The sequence below is a fragment of the Homo sapiens genome, chromosome 11 (genome assembly GCF_000001405.40).
Source record: "Homo sapiens chromosome 11, GRCh38.p14 Primary Assembly".
NCBI lineage: Eukaryota > Metazoa > Chordata > Mammalia > Primates > Hominidae > Homo > Homo sapiens.
In genome coordinates this window covers 15,646,335-15,672,579 of record NC_000011.10, presented here as the reverse complement: position 1 = coordinate 15,672,579, position 26,245 = coordinate 15,646,335, and the positions used below count along the sequence as shown (strand labels likewise).

Here is a 26,245-nt window from a genome sequence, read left to right as displayed (position 1 = left end):
AAACTTCACTTTCTTCATGAAGACTTTTGAGCTTTCTTGGATAGAATTTGATATTCTCTCCTTGGAGCTACTGCTTGGACAACTGCTTTTCTGAATTTGTAGTAGTAGTTATGTGTTTAGACAAGTATCTTCCTTACCAGTCCAAGAACTTCCAAGGAGGCTGCAGGAGCTCAATACTCTATTTCTAATACCTGGGGTAAACTTGGCATCTAGGAGTAAAGGAGAGCTCTGTTGTATGGGTGCATAGATAGATGGATGGAACTGATAAAAGCTGAAAAAGTAAAGACAATACCCAGGGAACACTTCTGGAGGATTCCATGGCACCAGTGATGAGAATAAGGGGGCAACAGAGAGAACAGTTTGACAGGCCTTCTCAGAGAGATCCCCTGTACCAGAATTGGTCCACAAAGTTAATCCTGATGCGCAAAGAAGTCAATAAGAAAAAAGTGTCCCCATACCAGAGATAACTCCACCAATTGAGGTTGCATTGTTCTGGACTTCTCTAGCTTCAGCAGGAGGATTGGTCTGATGGGTCCATGACTGCTGAGGTCACCTGCCAGAATATCTCTCATCCTGTCCCAGCCCTAGCCTGCCTGTTGCCATGTTCCTTTCCTGGAACCAGTACGGGGGCAGCCCAACAAGGGTTTTTACATTTTAAAAACCAGTAAAAAGTTGAAAATAGTCACTGATGCTCCTCCCCCTGGAATGAAGCCCTAAATGTGTGAGGATTGTTACTGAGTGGTAGCCGCCTTTCCCACACCCCTTGTCCAGAACACTTCTCTGGTACAGCCAGGCTACCCAGTGACTCAATGGCTCTACTCCCCTACATTTCTGGGGTTGCTCTCCTCACTTTGCCTCCTCCCCAGAAGGTCCCAGGACCTAGGACAGAAGTCCTGTATATACCCCACCACATCATGGGGCTAGTTTTCTTAGACTCTTGCCAGCCTTATCACAGAAGGCCTGGACTTCTTTCATGCCTGTTGCCTTCCTTCTGGCTGAAATTCCCAGAAACACCAGGCTTGGTACCCAATGCCATTCAATGCTCTCTATTCTACCCTTCTGAAGCTGCACCCTCATCCCTCATCCTGATGACTTCCTGCTGGGATGCCTGGCCCCAAATGGAACTGGAGCTGCTTCTTTCTGGTTAGGACACCTCCTGTGATTGCTTACTCCCTGAAAAGGTCCTGCTCCAGTTCTTCCTGCACACCTTCCCCTTGACCTGGGGCTCTCTGGGCCTGCTGAAGCCTGGGCTCAGTGGAAGGAGTGGATTGACAGTCATGGAGTGTGACTTCAGGTGGCCCTGAAGTGTAGTGGCACCAGGAGCACCCTGGCACTGCTCTCAGCCCTGCCTAGGGACCTCCCTAGCAAATAGAACCCTGGCTCAGACAAAAGCCATTAGAAATCATGACGACATCCATACCTTGCCATGTCCCTGGCATAAAGGGCCTGGCTAAATACCTTTGCAAAGCTTGTATTGTGCTGCATCCTGCGCTGCCTTCCCGACCATCCCTGCACTATCAAATCTTTCTAGGGCCCTTTGTTGTGAAACCAAATATAGCACTACATTGTCTGGCCTTCCACCCATTCTGGCTGGATAAAGAGGCTCGGTCCCCAGACTGGGGGCACACAGCTTCAGGCGGCCTCTCAATGCTATCTCACCACCACAGCCCACGCCGGGAGCCTGCGGCTCCCCCACCCACCCTCTCTGCTCCTGGGCCGGCGGCTGCTCCATTGATATGGTGTGTATTCTTTTCCATAGGTTCCCACGAGCATGTCACTAACCATTTCCTGGGCCTTATCACTGGGAGGAAAAAAAGGAGCGCCTTTGAAAAGTGGAAACAAAACATCAAGCCCCATTGTTGTGTGACTTCCCTGCCCACAATCTGGGCTCTCCATCACTCGACACGCAGAGACTACAAACATGGCCTAATACAGATACTCCAATCGGCAATTTGAAGAGGATATTTATTGTTCTGTATCTGCAATCTCTGCTCTGTGTGTTTGTGTCTTTTAACTCATCCTTTTCATTCCTCTCTGTTGACTCAGAACAAGTCAAAAGCCTCTAACGGCCATAGTCACTGGAAAAGGCAACTGAGTCAATTTGCAAACTTTGATGTGCCTTCTTGTTCATTGGGAACTCACAGTGGAGAGAGCCTTGTTCACCAAGCTCACTTTGTCCTTTTTCACCCTCTTATCTTCTTCACATTTTTTTTAAACTTTTTCTCTTTCTTCCATTCTGTCTCAGTCTTTCCCTCTCTGATCCATTTGTTAACTCTCACTCCTTACCTAAATGATCAAGTAGAAGAGGGCACTTCTGGTTAATTTCTCAGAATGAATGAGAGGGGACAGAGGACTTTATTTATATTGCCATAAGGAGCCTACATTGAGGGAGGCTTCCCAGGGGCAGCACCTGAAGGAGCAAAACCTTCCCAAGCCAGTATCATTGTCTCTCTTGGGCTGGACCTGTCAGTGAATTTCTATATCCTTCCAGCATAGTGATCTTATCAAAGATAAGATGCACATGATTCTGGACTATTATATATGAGAACCTTCAGAGGTGAACTAGTCAAAGCCCTTATTTTTATGGAGGAAGAGGCAGCAGACGCTCTGAGAGTGAAGTGACTGGTTCAACACCATACAGTGACTTGGTGATTGCCAGGACTAGAAGCCAGGTCTACCCAGCTTCCTGACCATTGCCAGGAAATGCTGTGCCCTAGCTGTGTCTCAAGATCTCTCTGAGAGTCTTTGTGATACATTCCCATTTTAGGTGTCTATCTAAGATGGGGACTTAAAAGTCATCCATTGGTCCCACCTTAGGGACCACTAAGGAGCATTTCCTAGCATAGCACAAAGTGGCTAAGAGCACAGACTTTGCATACAGAAAACCCAGGCTAGAATCTTGGCTCTGCCATTTATTAGCTGTGTGACCCTGGGTAAGTCACTAAACCCTGCTATGTCCCACATTCTTTACTTGCACAAGTAGAACTTGCCTCCTAGAGTCTTTGAGAATTAAGTGCTTTCAATTATATACAGTGCTTGGGATATAGCACACACCCTATACAATTTTTTTTTTTTTTTTTTTTTTTTGAGACGGAGTTTCACTCTTGTTGCCCAGGCTGGAGTGCTTTGGCGCCATCTCAGCTCACTGCAACCTCCACCTCCCAGGTTTAAGTGATTCTCTTGCCTCAGCTTCCCAAATAGCTGGGATTACAGGCATGCGCCACAAAGCCCGGCTAATTTCGTATTTTTAGTAGAGATGGGGTTTCTCCATGTTGTCCAGGCTGGTCTTAAACTCCCGACCTCAGGTGATCGGCCCACCTCGGCCTCCCAAAGTGCTGGGATTACAGGTGTGAGCCACTGCGCCCGGGCACACTGTATAAATTTTAACTATTGAAGAGTTCCCAGAAGAAAAGCTTGTGTTAAAATCCATTTTTATATCAACCATACACCCATCTTGTTATCTTTTAAATACGGACTTCGCAGAGATTTTCATACAGTAGAGTTCTTGTATATGCACATTCTAGTTGATTCCAATGCTAGGGCTCCTGCTCACCCCTGCAATACAGGCACTTGCCTTCCACCCAATAAACATGTATTTATCTGTTTAACAGTGTATGTGGAACACATACTCTGTACTAGTCACTGTGCGTACTCCTTGCCCCTGTGGTCAGTTGCAAGAGATAACATTAAACAAATAACCACACTAATAAATATGCAAGTACAAACTGTGACATGAAGGAAAAGTACAGAGTGTGATTAGAAGTTACATTAGGGGACCAATTCTAAGTTGAGAGTTTAAGAAAGGCATCCCTAAGAGAGTGAAATTTAAGTTGAGGTTTAAAAGAATGACAGAAGGTGGCCAAGTCAGTAGCCAGAGAGCACCCAGGCAGAGGCAGTTGGGACCACCTGAGGAACTGACCAGGGAAGAAAGAAAGACTGGCATAAGGGGGGCACAGAGAAAAGCAGGAAGGCCGGGCAGTCCACCAAGGGTACACTGATAACTCAAGGCTGCAACTGATTTTGGAATTTCCCCCTTTAAAGTCAGTACAAATACTTTAATAGTTTCTGAATAGACCTTGGCTGGTGAGTTAGAGAATGGATAGAGCAAGGCAATTAGGAGTGCAAGAAAGAAGCTCTAGATCTAGTCCAGGTTAGAGAGAAGAGGAGCTTGGACTGGCATGATGGATGTAGAAATAGAGACAAAAACTCTGGGCATATTTTGAGTAGAATCTATAAAACTTGGTAATGATTAGACTATGGTGGGGAAGAGAGATGGATGAGTTAAGGATGCTTCTGAGATGAGCATCTGGACTCATGGAGCTTCCACCTACTGAAAAGGGGAAACCTAGAGGGAGATCTGGGGATCAAGGGCTCTAGCTGTATTTGAGATGCAAAGTAGGCAGTGGGATTCTTGAATCTGGAGCTTAGAGTAGCAGTCCAGGCTGGAGATGTACATTTGGGTATTAATTACATTTTATGCACTGTGAATGAAAGACTGAATGAACAAAGTGATCATACTAAGATTTGAACTCAGATTTGCCTGACTTAAAAGTTAATATTTTATGCACTATCCAATCACCTTCCAGTCAACTGAATTCAATTAAAATTGTGGCTTTTCCAGTATCCAGAGACTGTCCAGTCCAGGGGGAAATGTGATGAATGCCAAGTCCAGAGAGAAGGCTAGATTCTCAGAAGAGTTCTTGAGAATGGGCAGAATCTGAGAGTCCCAAAGGCTAGGGGTTCTGGCATAACTTCTGGAGATGCATAGGAAGAAGCTAAGTCTTGGGGGATGTAGTGACCCTTCACACCCTCAAACTTTACTGGGCCAAAACTCTCCTAGAGTAGACATTCATAAGATTGTTTTGAGACAATTTATTGGAAAGAACCTAATACAGTGCTGAGCACATAGAAGATGCTCAGTTGTCAGGCTGGGCTGCACTAGATCGCAAGAACAAACAATCCCAAAATCTCAGTGACTTAACAGAGTCCATATGAATCAGACAGTGTTCCTGAAGGCATTTTTCCAACAGTGACTCAGGGATCAGGGCTATTTTCATCTTTCAACTCTGGTTATGTCAACTGTCTTCACTTCTCCCACTGGTAAGAAACTGGGGAATTCACACCTGTTCTTACCAGCTTCCAACTGGGGCAACACAAATGACTTCTACTCTCAGCCTGTTGATCTGGCAAGCATCCCAATATAGCTGCAAAGGAGGCCAGGCAAGGGCTAGGGGAGCATGTAGAGATTCTGTGAGGCTTCATTTTCTGTGCTTACTCAGCAAATGCTCGTGCTGTCTCCTTCTTCTGGTGAAAGGATGAAGCAAGGAAGAGGACTGGAAGATCCAAGTGGGAGATGAGGTGGTCAAGGCTGAGGACGATGGAGTTGGAGCAGGGACCCTAGACCCTAGACCCTAGACCCTAGTCAGATCTTTGACTCTAAGAGCTAGGATCAGAAATCTGTGCCTGGAACTTAGTCCGTTTCTAAGCATAAAAAATGTGTTTTCTCCTATTCTCTATGTTTGTCTCTCTCAGCATTCTCATTGGAAAATACTGGAAAATAAAGGGGAAGTTAAAGTAATTTACTGTCACAGTCTGAGGTCTGTGCTCTCCAGTGACTTTTGCCACCCACGATCCGTAAGGAAAGGATGTCTGAGAGATTGGGGCAAGACCGTTCCCTGAATGAGCCAGATCCTAAGGAGCCCACATCCAGGAAACTGTCCAGGGGCATCACCTAAAGGAGCAAAACCTTTCCAACCCAGTATCATTGTCTCTGTCTTGGGCTGGGCCTGGTGATGAGTTTCTATATCCTTCCAGCATAGTGATCTTATCAAAGCAGATTAAAAATGAGAATGGGCCTATAAAACATGCATTATGTTCCCCTTCTGTTCTCAGGGAGGATTGAAGGTGCTGGTTTTGAACAATGAGCCTCATTATTTCTGTGCCCCAAGCTTGACAAGTGGCTCTGCTCCAGCTGCACCCAAGTCTTTGAATTAAAACTGTGCCCTCTGAGAATGGAGACTGTCCTGGGGATGGGAATCCTGCCTGGGCTTAACCAGCCCAACTACAGGGACTTCCACCCAAGCCCTCCTTTCCTGTGAAAGCTCACTTTCCAGAAGACAGTTGCTTATCCCTGATGTTTGTTTGTTTGTTTGTTTGTTTGTTTGTTTGTTTTTGAGACAGAGTCTTACCCTGTCACCCAGGCTGGAGTGTGGTGACATGATCTCGGCTCACTGCAGCCTCCACCTCCTGGGTTCAAGTGATTCTTGTGCCTCAGCCTCCCGAGTAGCTGGGACCACAGGCACACACCACAACACCTGGCTAATTCTTGTATTTTTAGTGGAGACAGAGTTTTGCCATGTTGTCCTCAAACCCCTGGCCTCAGGTGATCCACCTGCCTCAGCCTCCCAAATTGCTGGGATTACAGGCGTGAGCCACCACTCCCGGTCTATTCCTGATGTTTGAATAAATCCTTCCATCAATCATCCTCTCTATACTTATCCTAAGCCCTGACCCGAACTAGTTTGGTGCCCCTCACCCTACAAAACTCTGAGCCCCTATTATGACAGAGACAGTGAGGAAGGAGGGTTTTGGGTGTAGTTTCATGGCTTTCCTTTGAGCTGAGTGTGGTAGTTCAGCCAACATAGATGTCAGACCAAGTTCCCCCACCAGGCTAGAGGAAGACACATTCTTCCCAAGCATAGTGTTTGTGCCCTCTGTACCCACTGTCCTGACTGTGGAGATGGGCAGGTCTCTCTTCTCACAAGACTCTTTGTTCTCTCCCAGACTTTAAGCTTAGATAGCATCTGGATGAAGTATCCTCCGTGCCCGGCCATCCAACTGCAACCACAGTCTCCAGATTGGTCCCTAGTCCTATAGCACTGCATGAAAACCACTGACTTATCTCCAGTTATACTTTATTGTCACTATTTGTTTGTACATCTGCTTCCTGACTAAACCATATGGGAATGTGAAGAGCAAAGGCCAGCTTTGACTTATCTTTGTTATCTCCAGTGCCTTACACAATGCCTGGCACATAGTACATGCTCAATAAATATTTGTGGCATGAGTAACAATATTTAATTGTGTCTGCTTAGTCCAATTCTAAGCAGGCAAAAACTTTTGCAATGTGTTGTGATTGTTTTCCTGTAAACGGCACAGGGAGGCACTCTGACTCTGTGACCTCCTCGATGGGCTCTACAGTACAACTGAGACAGAATAAATGTCTGACTGCTCTGTTTTGACTGGTGACAAGAGTTGCAAGCTGATTAATACATTTAAAGTGGTGATCAATTTGTCTTATTCATATCCTCTTATCCTGATTGTAATGAGTAGATCTTTTAACATAATGAAAACTGCATATTTCACTCAAATTCACAGTTTTGCATTCCAGAGGAGTTGAAATGCTGTTCTTTATTTAATGTTAAAATGAGGTATAAGCTCTTGTCTTGGGAGGCCAGGAAAGGTGACAAGCTGCCTCTCCCCTTGAAGGCCAAATGTGTGGAATCAACTGAAACCTTTGAATTTGACTATATAAATAGATTTTCAGAACTGTGAAATGGGAAGGCACATCTATCTTTTGCCTGGTTTATGGGTACATCAGCCCCGAGTGGAGGTCATCTAGCTTTGGCTTGAATACTCTCTAATGACAGAAGGCTCACCACTGTTCATTTTATTTTTCAAAGCCTCCAAGAGCAAAAATAATTCTTACATTGGTTCAGCATTGACCTCCCTGTTGTTTCCATTTGTTTCTGTTTCTGTGGACTTATCTGCTTCTCTTCCTTCTTCTCTTCCTCCCTCCTTTTCTTCCATTTTAAACTTCTTATAGTTTTCCCTAAAAATGTCTAATATCATAATAACCTCGTGCACTTTGCAAAGGCTTTGAACTTTACTTGTGCTTTTCACACAGCCTTGCAGTGGTTTTCTGTTGATTCTCTGGCATTGCTGCTTCTCTTGGAACAACCTGTCCTAAGAGTGGCCTCTGTGATCCACACACATTTCTCCCTCACTCACTGCCATATATCCAGCACCCAGAACCTTGCCTGACACACAATGAGCTCTCAGTCAGTGGTCCTTCAGTGAATGAATGAATCAGTACATAAATTGATGGTGGTGCCTAGAAGGCATTTTATTAACTGTGACCCTGAAACCCTGTCCATGGTTGTTTGGTATCACTCCACTAAACAGTCAGCATCACACAGCAGCAAGATGGAAATGGAGACAAAAGATATTCCCACTGCCTTCTATGGTTGAACCTGTGTCAGAAAAGCTCAGGAGCTATGAGGAGGCTGTGCTTTTGCCAGGGGACCAAAGAAGTAGGGGAAATCTGAAAACAGGAAAAGAACAGCAGGTGCATAGAGAGGAGTGGAGATGAGAAGCAGAGAGGGTGCAGAGGGCTTAGTAGCCCTGGCTCAGCAGCCCTGGCTCCCAGGGGTGTCTGAGGCCTAGCCCTGTCCCTGTCAGTGCTCCAGAAGATGACCTGGCCTCCTTCCCCAAATTCCCCTTTATTGCTCAAGCCAACTCAAAATAGTTTATTTACTTGCAACCAGGCATGTCCAACTAAATACTGGTAGACACGAAGACGTCTGTTTCTTAGCCTTGGAAAGGAGGCTCTGAAGGGTAAGAAACTCTCCCAAGGCCACAGGAACAGGAGTGGCAGAGTCAGGCCTACAGCCAGTTTTCCAATCGAATCCTAACCCGACGCCCTCCCACTGTGCTTTGTTGTGTGCAGTCACTGAAGCGCGTCCCTGGCCCTGGCTTGTGCTCTGCCCCTGTGTCTTGCTTCTAACAAAAGAAAGAGTCACTTCTGGAGCAGCCAGATGTAGCAGAGCAGTGGGAACCCAAACCAAGAGGAATTCACTCTCCATAAATTATGCTTTCATAGATGTCAATTATTAATTCCTAAATAAATATTTGTTAATATTCAAAAGAGTTTGCCTACCAAGAAAAACTCAGGCTACACAGAATAATTAGTGCTTCTTACTGTGCGATGGATGTAGCCCATAATGATTTTTTTTTCCTGTTCTGCATCTTTATTTTTTCTGAAGTGTGAATGCCTGAGTGTGCTGGGTTTCCTGCGGGGGTTGGCTGGCCCTCCTCTGAGCAGTCTTGGTTTGAGGTACATGCACAGAAAGAATGCAAGTAGCTGAATGCTTCCACAGAAGCTCCCATACTGGCCAGTGGGTCTTTTTCTTCTTTGTAAAGGAAGATTTTAAGAAGAACTGAAGCTGAAACATGTCTAATGAAAGAAAGTTGTAGATCTAGCCAAAAATTGGCAGGTAGGGAAGTCATTCAATTGAACAAAAATCTCATGTCATGTATCACAGTTTTGAGCACTGTGCTAGGGCTGGGTCAGCAGGCAAGGGTAGGAGTGGCCACAGAACAGAATAGATGTGTCTCCAGGGTTCCAGGAGTATGCAAGACTAATAGGAGAGAGCATCGTGCTAAGTTCTTAGCTCAGGGAAGAGTGAAATTAGTCCACAAAAAAGAGTTCACCAAAATGCTAGGGGTGGCTTGGAGAAGCTAGAAACCACACTAAATTGGGGACAAGGGAAGGGAGTGATTCATGAAAGGAAGTCAAATTTGAGTCAGAGCTTGAAGAATGGATAGGATTTTGATGGGGCAAAGATGGCCTTGGCATTTGAGTTTTGAGCAGGCATTCATTTGCTTTTTCATCCATTTAAGATACATTTATTTGGTGCAACTGGTAGGTGCCAGCCAGCCTGGTCTAGATGCTAGTCAGCCTGATCTAGATGCTGGGGATTTATCTTTTAATTCAAAAAACCCTGGGTCTGTGAAGTTAGAGTTTACAGTTCAGTGATATATATTAATAATAATGACACATATAATGTTACCTAATAATTTCACATGGAATATAAAAAATAGTTGCAATACAGTGAGACATGGATCCAATAGAATGACCACCTCCACTGGGGACATCAGAGAATTCTTCAAGTGGTGGAGACTCTTGGTATAAATCCCAAAGGAGTCATTTATCCAATTACTCATTCACAGCAAATATTTACTGAGTACCTACACATACCAGACACACTTTGTGTATCCGGATAGTACAATAAACAAAACAAAGTCTTTTTCTCATGGTGTTTATATCCTAAAAGTTTAGCAAATGAAGGGAGGGAAGGCCATTCCTCTCAGAGAGAATAGAACATGCAAGTCATAGAACCATGATGTCCTGGGGTGAAGCTACAGTTAAAGTTGCACAAGGAAGTGGGTTGTCAGGAGGTGAGACTGGAGAAGGAATTAGAGGCCACATTTCAAAGGACCTCACAACTGGGCTAAACACTTAGAACTTTATCTACAGCTGATAAAAACAAAGTTTGAAGAAAGCGATGTTGAGGGCTCTGTGGAAGCTGGATTGGAGGAATATGAGGTTGGGGGCACAGACACCAGTTAGGAAGTGATTGCAATAGCCCAAAACACTCATGACAAGGGCCTAGATCAGTGTGGGGATGGAGCAAGGATGTGTTTAAATTGGAAGAGTGGCTCTTAGCTTTGTGTGTATATGTGTGTGTCTAAGGTTTTTGAGAATAAAATGGAAGCTTCTGCACCCAGGAAAATGCTCATACTCGCCTATACATATTGTTTTGCAAGCAACTTCAAAGGGCAGGAATTCCAGATTAAGAACCCCTGAGTTATAGGAAACAGTTGGGGTGAGTGAGGGCCAGGAAGTGCACACATAAAATAAGAGGCTGCAGCAATGGTTTGGACATGAATCCGGTGCTATTCTAGTTCCCCTTTCAGAATCTACCTTCTTGGATCCTTCTAACTGTCCACACCCCATGACTTGGGTGGCTCCTGGTCCACAGAACCTTTCAGCTACCCATGAACTTGGCTGTCCCTCATTCCTTCTAGACCAGGCTTGTGCCTGTCTCTGTCACTCAGATGCCCACCAGAGCCAGAGGCCAAGGAGACAAGTTCCTTCCTGTCTTTTCAGTCCTGGGGGAAAGTTAGAGTATTCCTCAGTGGTGTCAATACCTCATGGTGCAGATCAAAGAGAACCTCCTTATAAGACACCAGAGTACTAGAGGTGGGAGGACCCTCAGACATCAACAAATCTCATTCCCTCATTGCACAGATGAGAAAGTTAAGGGATAGAGAGGGGGAGAAATTTTTCCAGAGCCACACAGAGTAAATGGGTGAGCTGGAACCAGAACTCTCACCTGCTAATACAATGTCTTTTGCCCCTCACAGAAGGTAATGGCTCCCTTCTTCATTCTTCTAGAAAAGCAGCATGTGCCTTATTAATGGTACTAATTGCGGCCATGACCTGAACAAAGATCAGTAGACAGCAAGCTCCATCTATGAGTGTGTCCACACCCAAGAGTATTGAATGCAAACCATGACAGAGGAGAGGTTGGCTGCCCCTAGGTGCTCACTAGTTTTCTCTGCCTGCATCACCATCCCACGTAAGAAAAACAGCAGCCCATGCATTTATTTTTCCTAGGCCCTCAGATGCCTTTGCAATACCACGAGGATGACGATACCCAATTCCCAGGGGTGTTACATACATGAAAGGGGAAGAGCACGTGAACAGACTCCCACTGCCCCCTCAGAAAACACTCTTTCCTGCTTTTCTTCTTGGCACTTCTTCCCACACTCACCTTAAAAGTGCTATGGGAAGAGCTGGGGCTGGGGAAGGTCGAGTTATTGGTCAGAGAAGAAGGCAGAGGCTGAGTTTCGCCTTTGTTGTGGCCTAGGGCTGCATCATTTTCCATATATTCTATCTCCACATAAACCCACACAGACACCTTTACAGGGTCATTCAGAACCAAAGTCAGAAAGAGCAGTAAGCACAAGAAGATAGAACTGGGATGTCCCCGGCAGATGCCACAGGGATGGCAACACCCAGGCAGGCCAGCCTGGACTTGTCAGAGAACACAGAAAAAATCATGTCTTTGCCAGACTGAGTGAGCAACTTGCAGTCACCAGGCCCTGTCCCCGACCAAGAGTTTTCACAGGTTCATAGGTGGCCATGCTGGTGGGCAGGGATGAGAACTGGAACCTTCTTCTAGAGAAGTACAATTGCTATCTACAGATGGGCAGGATCCAGAGAGGTGGGATCTGCATCCAAATCATAGGGAGTTGTGACTTCCAGGTGTCCCACATGATCCCAATTACTTTGAGTCTGGATCACGGACCTGCAGAGTGAGAGCTTGGGAGAGACACTGTTCTGGAGTCAGGTGCTGGCTTCTCACACAATGGCTGTGTGCATTTGGGAGAGTTAGACTCTCAAAGCATCTGTTTCCTTAGTTTCTCCATCCACCGGATATGAACAACAACAGGCTCCACCTTGATGTTGGGCTGGAGAGTAAGTGAGATTAAGGAGAGCCCATATTAGTGAGTGATCAAAAAATCCACAACAAAAACTGGAGGGCAGGAGGGTAGACCCTCCTGAAGCCACCTGCTGTTGTCTTTGCCCAAACAGTTGCCTGCATTCTTCTGCATCCTTCTTGTTTTTTTTAAGTAAACTTTTTAAGAAAGGAAAACATACATATAGAAAAGTGTGCGAATCATAAGTTATAGTTTGATGAGTTTTCTAAAGTGAACACACCCATAAAACTGGCTCTTAGATCAAGAAAATGCCCCTCAATGGCCTTTTAGGGCCATACCTATTATCCTTTCTGACTCCTAGCATCATGGATTAGTACTGTTTGCTCTTGGAAATTTATATAAATGGGATCATACAATATACATCCTTTTGTGTTTGGCTTCTTTCAATTAGCATTGTGTTTGTGAGATCCAGCCAAGTTGTTGTATGGAGTTTTATTTTCCTTATTTTCATTGCATGTACATTATAGGAACAAACCACAATTTATTTATGCATTTTATGGTTGATGGGCTTTTGGGTAGTGTCCAGCTTTTGAATAGTGCTGCTAGACCATTCTTATACATGACTTTTGCTGAGCATATGTATGTTTTTCTGTTGGCTGTAGATTAAATTGAATCAAATTAAGTTGACATTTTTGTAGATCAAAAAGTTAAACACTGATAATTTCATATGGCTCAATCTAATACTTTGGAGTAAAAATGTTGGGACATGAGGCACATATAATATATTCAACTTTCATAGATACTGACAAACAGTTTCCCAAAGTGGTTGCACCAACAGACACTACCAGCAGCATGTAAGAGTTTCAATTTCTACAGTCTTTAAAACAAGGGGTACTCAGGTTCTTCTGCAGAGCCTCATGTACCCACTTCCTCTGTTCTGAAGGGCCCTTTTGCATCATGAATTTGCAGTATTCTCTGTATTTGCTTTCCCCTTGAGAAGGTCTTTTTGACAGTTCTAACCCTGACTGAGCCATGTTTTAGTGTATGAAGAATGTGGTTCCACATAGGACAAGTGTAATGCCGGCAGAAGGAATAAAACTGTTAGAACAAAGAACAAAGCTCATTCTCCTCCAGTGATAACCTTGAAGCACCTGAGTTTGAATGGTATTAAGGAGGGTGACTTCTCCCTACACCAAGGGTTTTCAATCTGTCCCCAGCCAGGCTATGGAAAGTGAGAGGACAGGAGCTAAGGCTCTTCTCTCTTGCCCAGATCTGAGGAAGCTAGATATTTCCAGGGTGTTGGTGTTGATCAGAATCCATCTGCCAAATGGAGGCAGAATGGGAGGCTGTTTCTCCTTGGGCCTGGCATGGCTGCTCTATTATTCACAGTAGGCTGAGTGCCTAGGGCTACAAACATTTAGGGGGCCCACAAAAATGTTTTAATTCTCTTAAAATCAGAGAATTTTAGGACATTTTAGGTCAAAGAAAATGCTTTAATTTATACTATTAATATTTTTTCATTATATTAATGTAGTCATAAAATATAATTTGTTTATTTACTTATCTAAATGGAAGAAAGAGCCCAAGAAAATAAGAGTACCTAGGGCCCACTAAGGTCATACCGTGTTCCTGGGGCCTAAGCCACCTGCAGAGCGGATAATTCGAATTCATGGCACTTTCTAAGTTTAGTTCCCCTTCGGAATATCTTTTTGATAGTTCTATCCCTGTCTCAGCCATGCCTCGGGGTATAAATAATCCTGTCTACATTTGAACCAGAGAGTAAAAGGGGAACACTGGGAAGTTCTTCATTTCACCTCGTTCCCAAAAGTAGGGTAAAGTCTAAAGGTTCCTTAGACCTGCCTTCAGAGTCAGTGTGAAATCTGAATCTTTAGACAGCATAGACATAACTCCCTTGGGGTGTAGGGCAAGGGGTTTGCTGAGGACAGGACTGTGTTCTCTAGCTCCCAAGAGGATCCCAATATGGGCATCTGGACCCTGGTCATGGCTAGACCTCAAGCCCGCTTTAGTTCCTGTTTGTTTACTCCTTTGTTCTTCCTCCTCTCAATATCCACATACCCAGAGACTAATTTAGGGGCTGGAGGCTGAGACATCAAGATCTTATTTCTTCCAAACATGTCTCTGTTGGGCTGGCCTTCAAGGAACTATGGAATGATGAATAGCTGTTTGCTAGCTGGAGGAATTTAGAAAGGACAAGCTATTTAAAGCTCTGTGAAGAGCAACCAGGTTGGGAATATATCTTTTATTAAATGGTGGGAAAAAGAATAATTTTGCAAAATACTAATGATATAAAATATGAACAGCACGAATCTGATCTATTTTATTTACATCTTTATGTTTGAATTAGAGAGAGAAATGGACAAGGAAAGAAGAAAAAAGCAGATGGTTGGATGCAGAATCAAGAAGAGAAGGTTCTACCAGTAGCTCTGCCACAAATTTGCTCCATGGTCCATAAAAAAGCACCCAACCTCTCAGAATCTCAGTTCCTGTATCTGCAAAAGTGATGACTAGATTATCCTGAAGGTCTTTTTTAGCCTTCAAATTTTAACACATAGTAGGAGCTCCATCAGTAATTGCTGAGGTAGCGAGGGAATGCAGGATTGTGACTAGACCAATATCACACACGTGTGAAATCCAGCAACAGAGGTGGCGAGCTCATCAACAATAGCAAGGAAGCTGGGAAGCAGAGCCCATCTGTAGACAGCATTTGTACTGCCATAAAAATAGCATAACAAGATTATATTGAAATATCCCACTATTTAACTTAATAATTTAAATGTTTGCCTAATGAGGTGGACTTGATTGGATTAGGGCATTCACAATTAATTTTGATAGATCATTTTACACATTGGAGGTGCATTCTTCTGAACCAGGAGGTGGAACGGAAGTGCAAAATGTTTACGTTCAAACGAGCATGTGATTTTGCAGAAAACATTAATCCCAGATCATGCACACTAAGTCAATTTCAGAAATGGCTTCTAGATATATTATTAGAAATTGCTCTTCAAATATAAAAAGCTTGTAATAGAGTTCTGTCCATTTTTCCTTTGGCTGATGGAAGTTGTTTTATAAATATGCCTATGATAGGATGTTTTCTTCATCCAAGCCTTTTGGTACTAATTGCAACTTTTTAAACACTGTAAGTAGTAGCTGTCATGAACACTTTGAATCCTATTACAAATATGTATTTCTGAACAATTTCACATTTAGGGGTGCATTCTTTCGACTATTTTTTGCTACTTTTCCCCCCTGTTTTTTAAAAAAGCATTTGAATTGGAAACTGTGGATCCCCCTTTTTTGTTAAGGAAATAATTTTATTATGCAATAGGAAAATGGCATCAGCCCCCTCCTACACCCTCTCAAAAATTAAAGACCCAGGAGTGTTCCCATCTGCCCCAGGAGTCAGGAATGAGCAGAGGCTAATGGCCTCTGGAAAGGCAAATTGGAATCAGGCCATAAAATCCATCCCAGAGTTCCAGGAAAAACACATTCCTCAATACCATTGCTGTCGGATCAAAACTGCATCTCTGTTTTCTATCAGAAAGTTATCTCATGTAGAGTGTCCACGAGCAAGGTGCTTCTTGAAGAATTCTTTGGGTCTCAAGCTCCCCTTCTGAAAGATGGAGCTAAATCACCCACATCTCAAACCTGAGGAATGGAGGTCCTAAATGTGACAATGTTTAGTGAGACAGCATGAAGTGATAGAAGCACTGGTTTGGCACCAACTGACCACAGCTCAAATCCTGACTTTGCTCTTATTAGCAGGTTACCTTGGAGAAGTCACTAACCCTTTCTGAGACCCAAACACATCATTTAGTAAATGGGGACAATTATACCTGATGGTGAGTGTTGTGAGAATCGAATGCTACATCCCCTAATGCATGATAGCAGCTCTACAAGTTTTAATTCCCTCCACCTCACACCCAGTCTCCTTCTCTGGGAGGAAAGCAGTCCAAAATTCAAGGCACCATTGCCATCTTGGTTTCTGCAAATGCTCCTGACAAGTCTATGGCACTTAGGACACGGGGGCCCTGTTCTTCCTGGTCCTGGGAAACATGAGGTCTGCTCTGAAGGCTCCAAGCCACCTTTGTTGGCAGAAGCACCTGTATCTTCCTCCCTTCTCCTCCTCTGAGGTCCAAGCTCTATAATGAGACTTCATCAAACTCACCCAATGTGAGGTTTCAGTGACCTTCATAAGGAAATCCAAATACTTTGCAAGGTGCTCCGATTTGAATACGTCCCCCAAAAGTTCATGTGTTGGAACCTTAATTCTTAATGCAGCAGTGCTGCAAGGTGGGGCCTTTAGATGGACATTGGGTCATGAGGGTGGAGCCCTCCTGAATGGATTCATGCCATTACCACAGGAGTGAAATGTGGGTTGCTGTAAAAAGGGAGCTCTGGAGCACTGCGATATCTTCCGCACCTGCTTGCTTGCCCTTCCGCCTTTCCGCAATGGGATGACGCAGCAGCTTTCCACAGTTCAGTTACCTGTGGTTAACTGTGGTCTGAAAATATTAAATGGAAAATTCCAGAGATAAATAATTCCCAAGTTTTAAATTGCATGCCGTTCTGAGCAGTGTGATGAAATCTTGGCCCCACCCAGGTCATGAACCATCCTTTGTGCAGTGCATATGCTACCTGCCGGATAGTCACTTAGTAGCCCTCTGGGTTATCACACCGACTGTCACAGTGCTTGTGTTGAAGTAACCCTTGTTTAACTTACAGTGCAATGCAATAAGATATTTTGAGAAAGAGTGATAACATTCACCTAATTTTTATTATATTGTTATAATCATTCTATTTTCTTATTAGTTGTTGTTAAACTCTTACTATGTCTAATATATAAATTAAACTTTATCATAGGAATATGTATAGGAAAAACGTCTTTTATACAGGGTTTGGTGCTATCCATGGTTTCAGGCATTATCCACGGAGAAGGGAGCACTACTGCATTCTGAACGCACGAACTCTCTCCAACCTCAGGTGCTTTGCTTATTTGTGCTGAGGGCTCACTCATCCTGGGATGCCCTTTCCTCTATTCTGCAACTAGGAAAGGTCTTCTATTTCAAGATCTAGCTCAGATGCCTCCTCCTCCCTTGTGGGTATAGCCACCATAGCTTTTTCTGGTCCTCTTTGGGTTTGTAATCTGTCGTGACACAGTTATTATTCTGATACTAAGGCATTACAGGCTCTCTCAGAAAACCCCCATGCCTTTTCATCTCTGTGTCCCTGGGATCCTCAGAAACCAAGCTGATTATAAAGCTCTTAAAATCCTCCCAAGAATCCTATTGAGTTAGGCACTATTATTGAAGAAACCAACGTTCAGAGACACTAAGTAGCTTGTCTATAGTCACACAGCCAGTGGTTGAAGAACAAGAATTTGAACCTGGAGAATCTCACTTACAAGTCTGTGCTCTTTCCACTGCTCTATAAGCCTTTCCATGATCTCCTTAAATCTTCCACCAACCCAGGAGGCAGGCAGGGAAGGCCTCTTTATAGAAGAGGAAACTGAGGCTGATGGGAATGGTCACTTCCTAAGTCTTCCTGCCTTGTCATTCCAGGAGCTGACTAAAGTTCTGGGTTTCTTATTCCAAAACCGGGCCTCTGCACAGCCACAGGCTCCTGTCAGTGACCTGCTGAGTCACCCGCTCCAGAAAGCCACCTGCAGCAGGGTAGGTGGAGCCTGGGCTATGGCAATACCTGACAAATTCATGTGCCTTTCAGGGCTGTTCTAAGCCCCTCTCACCACAGAGGTGACAAGCAAACGACAAGGGGCATCTCTGCTCCCAAGGGATTCCAGTCACGCAAACTCTGCCAATTAAGGCTGGAACGATGTCATCTCCTGAAATGGCATTTTAATGAGTGATGGTTCCGGGATAAATTGTTATCTTGTGATCCCTCGTTAGAGAGCTTAATTAGATCCATCATAAAACACATTGATCAATAGCACTGAGCAGGTCCACAGGACATTCACCATCTGCAGGAACATTCCTACTCAACCTTTGGCAGAGCCTGGTGGGACCAATCCCCGGGCCCTAAGAGCTGCTGAGTGCGAGTTCTTGAATACCTGGGCACCATTATTCTGGTTCTTTCTTCCCTCCCTTCTTTTCTTTCACAAATATTTATTTTAGCACCGTCCATGTGCCAGGCACTGTGCTGGCTGCTTATGCTTTAACTCAGTTTATCCTCATGAATAGCTGTTATTTCCTTATCTTGCAAATGGTGAAACAAAGGCTTGAAGCCCCAAGCTGTCAACTGGTTGTAGCCCCAACAAACTGAGTTATCTTTCAGGTAACTTCTGGGGAGTGGCTAATGCAAGATGGACAAAAGTAAAAATGAAAGGAAGAGTAGACTTGATTAAACTCCTAATCCCTGCTGAGACTCTCTGCTGGGCAGTATATATATGTCACATTTAACCTTCATATCAGCGGTGAGAATTTTCATCTTCATTTTATAGTTAAGAGAACCGAGTCTCAGAAATGTTACTTGCTCAAAGTAATACAGCCAGTGAATATCAGAGCTGGAATTAAAACATGGCTTTAGGAACCTCAAATCCAGACAGGTGTGGGTTCAAACTCCAGTGCTATTATATACGCACTGTATAATTGTGTAATTTCTCAAATTATATAAACCTTCTGAATATCAGACTCTGCATCTATAATACTGAGGGTAACAACTGGACCCATCTCATACATTTATTTTGAGGATTCAATGAAATAATGCCTATCAAGCATTTGAATAGTACCTGACCCACCCATAGTGTTCAGTAAAGATTTTTCACTGAACATCCCAGTTGTTTCCCTTCAGAAAGAAATGACCTGTTTCCTTATCTATAAAGTGAGTGTAGTAACCCTTGCCCTTAAACAATTCATAGGGGAGCACTTTCAGAAAGGTAAAGTATTCAAACTTGTTGGTCACCTTCTGCATACCTGTGTGCTGGCAAAAACTGGAGTCAGCACCTATTTTATGGAAGTTTTTTTTTTTTTTTTTCTCTTGCCCAGGCTGGAGTGCAGTGGCGTGATCTCGGCTTACTGCAAACTCTGCTTCCTGGGCTCAAGCCATCCTCCCACCTCAGCCTCCCGTGTAGCTGGGACCACAGGCACATGCCACCAAATCTGACTAATCTTTTGTATTTTTGGTAGAGATGGGGTTTCACCATGTTGCCCAGGCTGTTCTTGAACTCCTGAGCTCAAGCAATGCACCTGCCTCAGCTTCCCAAAGTGCTGGAATAACAGGCGTGAGCCACTGCGCCCAGCCTGGAAGAATTTTATTTAAATTATTATTTTTATTATTAAAATAATGCACTAGCACAATGGTGGTGGGGATGGGGAGATGGATCAAGAGAGAAAGGTGGGGGTGGGTAATAAAATCAGAGTATTCAGACTTCAGTGGAAGGTAGGGATTACTGTGGTGGCCCAGGAAGTGGCCTGGGGAGTCTCACCAATGGGGCATGACTGCACTGATTCAAGGGCCTGGGCTCAAAAGGGTGTGTGTGTAGTGGTGGTATGTGCACATATCTGCATTGTGCCTGTGTGTGTCTGTGTGTGTGTGTATGTGTGTTGAACCTAATGCCCATAAGATCGTAGAACTTTTCTATACAAAAGAAAGGACTCTGGAGACTCATCCATGGATTGTGCAAGCAGGGGTGTGTGTGTGTGTGTGTGTGTGTATCTCTTTTTCTGTATTGAGGCCAGTTTCCATGAGAGGGTGACTTTTTTCACCTGTGTGCACTTGGAGATTTTTTTTTCCTTTTTTATTATAGTAAATGTAGCTTGAAAGCTGAGGATAGCATAGCTTTTCCCCGAACACAGATCACATCACATAATTTTTCTTTCAGAGAAAAGTGCTGCAAAATAACCTGCAGATGGTAAGTCTCTCTCTCTTTCTGTCCTGCTCTCGCGTGCTCTCTCTGTCTCTGTCTGACTCTCTCTTTTTCTCCATCTGTCTCCATGTCTCTCTGTATCTCTATCTCTGAGGCCCTATTTATAGCTTAAAATGCTTTCGCATTTTCACACTTGGCATGTAAAATGCCCCCGTATTACATAAAATAGCATGCATTCGGGTTTGTAATTAGATCGTTGTTTCATCCCAAGTTCCACACATAATGATGCTGGACCTTGTTCCTTATTCCCTAGTACTACCTGCAAATACTGCCAGGTCTGGGTATCCTGCCCTAACCCCTTCCCCAGTTTCGTTTTTGCCAACTCCCAATGACAATCCTGCAACCTCACTGCTCCCTGCTCCCTTGCTGATCCTCTCCTGCAGCCTTCGCGATGGGTTCAGCGTTCTTCGGCAGCGGCTCAGAGCAGCCCGGACCTCCTCTCTTTCTCTTTCTCTTTCTTTCTCTCTCTCTCTCTCTTTGGCATGGCCTGAACAATCGCCTCACTCTGTTAGCAAGGCCATCAGAATTTCTGAACACAGTCACAAAATTTATATCCCTCCAACTGCCCCGATATAAACACTACCCAGAGGAAAGGGAGGAAAGGTCTCTTTTCTCTAAAATAAGGAGACGCAATTTAAAAAAAAAAAAAAAAAGCGGGGGGGAGGAATCAAGATTCATTTTTAAGCAATCTGGACATGTGTTAGAGGATATTGCTGAGAACAATTAGGGATGTATGAGTGAGAGGTTTATTTCTCACTTGCTTGTCAGGTCAGAAGACAATCTGTTTATTTTCCTGCTACAGTTTTATTCGATAAACTGAAAGGATGGGAGCTAGGAAAGAGGGTATGAACAGGATGTGTGCTATCAATTTGTCAAATAAATAATCGTGCTTGGAAACAACAGATTTTATTAATTAGACAGGATAGTGTATTATTACCATTAAAGTGTTATATTGCATTAATTTTTATATTTTACTCCGCTACTAATTACTGTAAAAGATTTCGGGAATGAAGCAAAATAAAATCATGCCGCATTATACATAATGTAAAGATAGCGTGAATTAATTTGTCGGCCGCTCCCCGTCTGCCTCCGGGAGAGGAAGAGGCATGGAAGGGCCTCCGCTGCTCGGCTTGCCGGCCGCTCCAGAGCTCTGCACCAGCGCTGCTCCCGCCTTGTCGCAGGAGGCAGCTATGAAGACCTAAGGTTCAAGACCCGGCTCAGCCGCGAACTTGCTTGGTACCCTTTGGCAAATCACTTCTCTGAGGCCTCGGTTTCCTCTTCTGTAAATGTAAACATCCCTTCTTTTTTTTTTGCCTTACGGGGTGGTTGTAAAGAGCTAACGAATTCCCGAGAGTAAAAGTGCTTTCAAATGTCAGAGGTGGGGAGACGGGTTGAAATCCAGTACAATAAGAGTAGGTAGACAGAGGTGGGGGGCGTCCGGAGTTCAGACCCTGCAGGGGCAGGTCTGGTCAGATTTAATGCTCAGAGGCTGCCAGGGCAGGGGGCCTGGAGAGTTAGGGCTTGGGAGGGAATTAGGGCTCTCCAAGGCCATCCAGCGGTCGTCTCAGCCACCCCCTCACTGCACAGTGCCTGGGAGCGGGGGCCCATGGCCACACCCTGGCGTAGCCGAGTTCCTCACTGTAAATGCAGACTAGAAGACACCCCCGTTATCCCCAGGCGCTCACACCAGGGAATCCCCCACTGGGTATTGGCACAGTGGAAAAAAGCACGATTCTCGTCAGACAGGACCAGGTTTTAATAACTGCACAGCCACGCAAGAGCCATGTGGCCACAGCCAGTCCCTTAACCTCTCTGAAGGGCAGTTTCTTCCTCAGTTAAAAAAAAAAAAAAAAAAGTTGTTTGCTCAGGAAGAAAATTCCCACGCTGGGCACAAGTTCTGGCTAAGGAGTCGGCGGGCTGGGCCCTCACGAGGGTGCCAGGGTCCCCAGGGCTCCCCATGACAGCACAGCCGCATGGGGACCAGGAGCCCCAGCAGAGCCCTCCCCGTCCAGCTCCATCCAGGCGCTGCCTCCCGGGTCCTCGCTGACCTCCGCTCGGGCAGAAGCCACCGAGTCCCAGGGCGGCCCCCAAGCCCCACCCCGGGGGCGCGGTTCTCCCTCGCTCGGCGGCCGAAGCCCAGCCACGTTTTTCTCCAGGCTGGGTCTCCGCAGCCAGGGCCAGGCGAGGGCCATTTCTCACGACCCGCTGCCACCTACCGTCCGCAGCGGAGAACTGCAGGCCGAGCGCGGCAGGCCTCTGGGAAGCTGCCACCCAGATGGACCAGATCCCCAGGCGGCGCTCAGGCCTCTCGGCCTGGAGCCCCAGTTCCCAATGTGTTCCGGATACGTGTTGCAGCCTTGTGGGAACAACTCAGCTGGCCACCTGAAGCCCTGATGCTCTGGCTTGCACTGTCACTGGGGTAACTGGACCCCTGGGGACACAGGGGCACGAGGGCAAGCCACTCCCTCCCCATCCGGCTATAGTCTCCTTTAGAGGCCTGAAAATCCTGCCCCTGGGTTTGGAGGGCTGTCTCTGGCTGCTTGAACTGGACCTGATGTAGGGCTTCCAGAGACAATTGTCCCGGTTTCCAGTTTCCAGAGTTAGAACTTCGCCTGCCCTGCAAGTCTGACCTGAGTCTGAGCTGGGCCTGCCTTCAGCTTTCTCCGTATTCTCTGGATCCCTTATGTGACCCTCTCTTGGGGCATGGATCAGGCAGCCCTGCAAAATAGCATGGTCCCAAATCTTGACTTCTCCACTCACAAGCTAGCTTATCTGCGGTAAGTGACTCAGCCTGACTAGGAAAACTCCTAGTTTTCCTCATCTTTAAACCAGCAATATCAGTAGTAACTTCCATATACGGTTGCCATGAGGATAAAATGAGTGAATATATATATACAAAGGAATTAGAACAAGGCCTGGCACACAGTAAATGGCTTATACGTGCATAGTAGTGCATTATCCAAGCATTAGGGATTATCTGTGTCGGTGTTATCTGTGTGCCTGTCACAAGACTTCCATTTGATTGTGAACTCCATAAGCATAGAAATCATCTCTGATTCAGCCATGAATCCTCAGCTACTTGCACACAGAAGGATGCAGTACCACTTATCCATGCATTCATTCATGCATTTAATAAATATTTATTCTACTATGTGCCAAGCACTGTGCCCTGGGGTTACAAGCATTAATAAAGACAACGACCCTTCCCTTATGGAGGTTATATTGTTTGGAGAAGACAGAAATAGAGCAAACAAGTAAGTCGATAAAATGGGCACATCTTGTAGTAAGTGCAAGAAAGAGAACAGCCAGACTCTTTGAAAGAGAATGAAGGAGGAGGAGCATGGAAGAGAGCTTTTGGATGGTCAGGGAAGGCATTGCTTCTAAAGGCCTCTGAAGAGGCGATAATTAAGCTGAAACTTAGATGAAAAGGAGGAAGGGGTATAGGCAAAAGATGGACTGCATCTTATATGAAAAGGATGCCTGGGGTATAGGCAAAAGATGGACTGCAAAGGAGCAGGAGGAAACTTCCCAAGGTGATGGAAATGTAACGGTGGTTGCCTAAGTGTATTTATAAAGTTGTCAAAACTCATCAAACTGAACCCTGAAAAGGAGTGAATTTTATTCATACAAATTATGCTTCAGGTTGGGCTCAGTGGCTCACGCTTGTAATCCCAGCACTTTGGGAGACCGAGGTGGGTGGATCACCTGATGTCAGGTGTTCAAGACCAGCCTGGTTAACATGGTGAAACTCCGTCTCTACTAAAAATACAAAAAGTAGCTGGGCCTGGTGGTGTGCACCTGTAATCCCAGCTGCTTGGGAGGCTGAGGCAGGAGAATCGCTTGAACCTGACAGGCAGAGGTTACAGTGAGCTGAGATCACACCATTACACTCCAGCCTGGGCAACAAGAGTGAAACTCCATCTCAAAAATAATAATAATAATAATGATAATTATTATTATTATTATTATGCTTCAATAAAGCTGATTTAAAAATAAAAGATGGTAGCCAAGTAAAAAATCAAGGAAGAGCATTCCAGACATAGGAAAAAAGAGCTGATGCGTAGCCTCTGAAGCAGGGAAAATCTTTTTGCATCCTAGGAAGGCCTGTGTGGATGAAGCAGGGTAAAGAAGAGGGAAGGTAGCAAGAGATGAGGCAAAGACATGACATCCTGGACCTGGTGGGGTTAGGATTTTATTCTGTGTGAACAGAAAAAGCCCTTGATTTGCTATCAAAAGTCCTAAACCCTGGTCTGGACTTTCTAGCTGTGTTGTCTTGGATGAATCATTGAACTATTGTGAACATTTTTTAAATCTGTAAAATAGGAATAAAAATGATATGCAGGGATCCCATCAAAGGGGGCTGCAGCCAGGGCTGACTATGAAGGCAGGTTGACACCTGATGCCTGGGGATATACCCACATATTTTTATTGGGCACTCAAAAGATTGCTTATTGAATTAAAATAGTACATGCCTGTATGGAGCAGAGACCTATGACCTTTCAAATAGCAGTTGGTGAGTGGTGGGGAGGAAGAATGGGAATTATTCCCATAATTATGGCATTGACTAATTAGGGCATTGAGTCCTTCAGTGTGTCCTCACCTACCCAATACTGTTTTTCTCTCTTATAGAAAATTCTTATTTTCCTTGGTCTCATAGCATGTGTCACAGTTTATTATTATGCATTTAAATTCTGTGCATCTTTGTTCAGTGTCTGACTTTCTGCAGACTGCAAGCTCCATGAGGACCAGAACTGTGTCTCTTCTCTAAACCACTGTACCCCAGTATCTAGCACTGTCATTGGTACATAGGAGGCACTCAATAAATACTAATTGAATGAATGAATGAATGACTATAACCATCCATTTATCCAAAGACAATTAACTATCCACAGGGCCCTTTCTGCTTCTTCCTAAATAATCCACCTTCTTCCCCTTACCCACTGGAAGCTCATCACCTAAGCCTTCCTTTTTGGGTTTTCTCCATCATCCTCATTCTAAATTCAGCACCGCCCAACCCCACAGAGCTTCTTTCTTTCTATTTTAATAAACATCTACACAAAATTAAGGAGAGAAAGACTGGTGGTTGTGTTTGATTTCACACTGGTTTTGACGTTTGATATTGTAAACTTCTTTCACCTTAATTTGATTTTCTGAAGTAGATAGGGTCAGATCAACTATAATTCCCATTTTCCACATGAGGAGCCAGACAGTTGAAGAGATGGATTGACTCATCCCATGGCATAGCTAGGGAGTGGCAGGGACACAGCTAAACCCTGGGTCCCATGGCTCTAAATTCCATGATCCTTTTCCCTTACAGGATCCTCTGCTTGATGGTTTTATGTGCAATACATTTCTCCCTTCGCATCTTAGGCACTGATGGTCCATGACAAATCGTGATGAGGGTTCTCCACTGAGAAAAGATGATAAAGACTCTCAGGAGCAATACTGCTCTTACTGTAAGTATCTAATCCACTTCCAGTGGCCATCAGGGCAAATGGAGGACATTACAACACGATTACATGCATAGATCCCAACTAAGTCCTCTAGAGCCAGATCTGCCAGGTTTGCATATTGGCCTTGCTACCTTCCAGCCCTCCAACCTTGGGTGATTTATTTCAGGTCTCTGTGCTACAGGCTCCTCATCCTAAATTGGAGATAAGAATAGTGACTACCATATAGGGTTTCTGGGTGAATTAAATGAGTTAATACATGTAAAATGCTTGGAAAAGTGTCTATCCAATAGAAAGTGGCCAGTTGATGTTGTCCTTCCTTCCTTCCTTCCCTCTCCATCCCTCCCTCCCTCCCTCCCTCTCCTTCCTTCCTTCCCTCCTTCCTTCCTTTCTTCCTTCTCTTTCTGTATTTATTTCTCTCTCTACTTCTTTCTCTGTTACTTTTTTTGTTCTTCTCTTTACTTTTCTTTTTTCTCTCTTGCTCTATATTACTTATTCTTCCTAAATTCCTGTCTCTTCCCTGAATGTAACTTCACAATAGTGCATCAATAAACATTTGTTGAACCAATACATAAATGAGTAAAGAAAAAGGAAAGAGAAGGAGGGA

The 26,245-nt window shown here is 44.6% G+C and overlaps 1 long non-coding RNA gene across 5 annotated transcripts in view, besides 1 other annotated feature; it reads right to left on the bottom strand.

Annotated features, from left to right (window-relative positions):
• Positions 1–26,245, bottom strand: part of LINC02751 (long intergenic non-protein coding RNA 2751) — a 152,600-nt gene that overhangs the window by 32,793 nt on the left and 93,562 nt on the right. The gene's annotated exons all lie outside the window — the stretch shown is intronic.
• Positions 22,177–22,266: a silencer, noted in NCBI's record as "silent region_3179". NCBI's record gives its function as "represses an Ori minimal core promoter by ATAC-STARR-seq in GM12878 lymphoblastoid cells {active_cell/tissue: GM12878}" and the evidence as "EXISTENCE:reporter gene assay evidence [ECO:0000049][PMID:35858748]".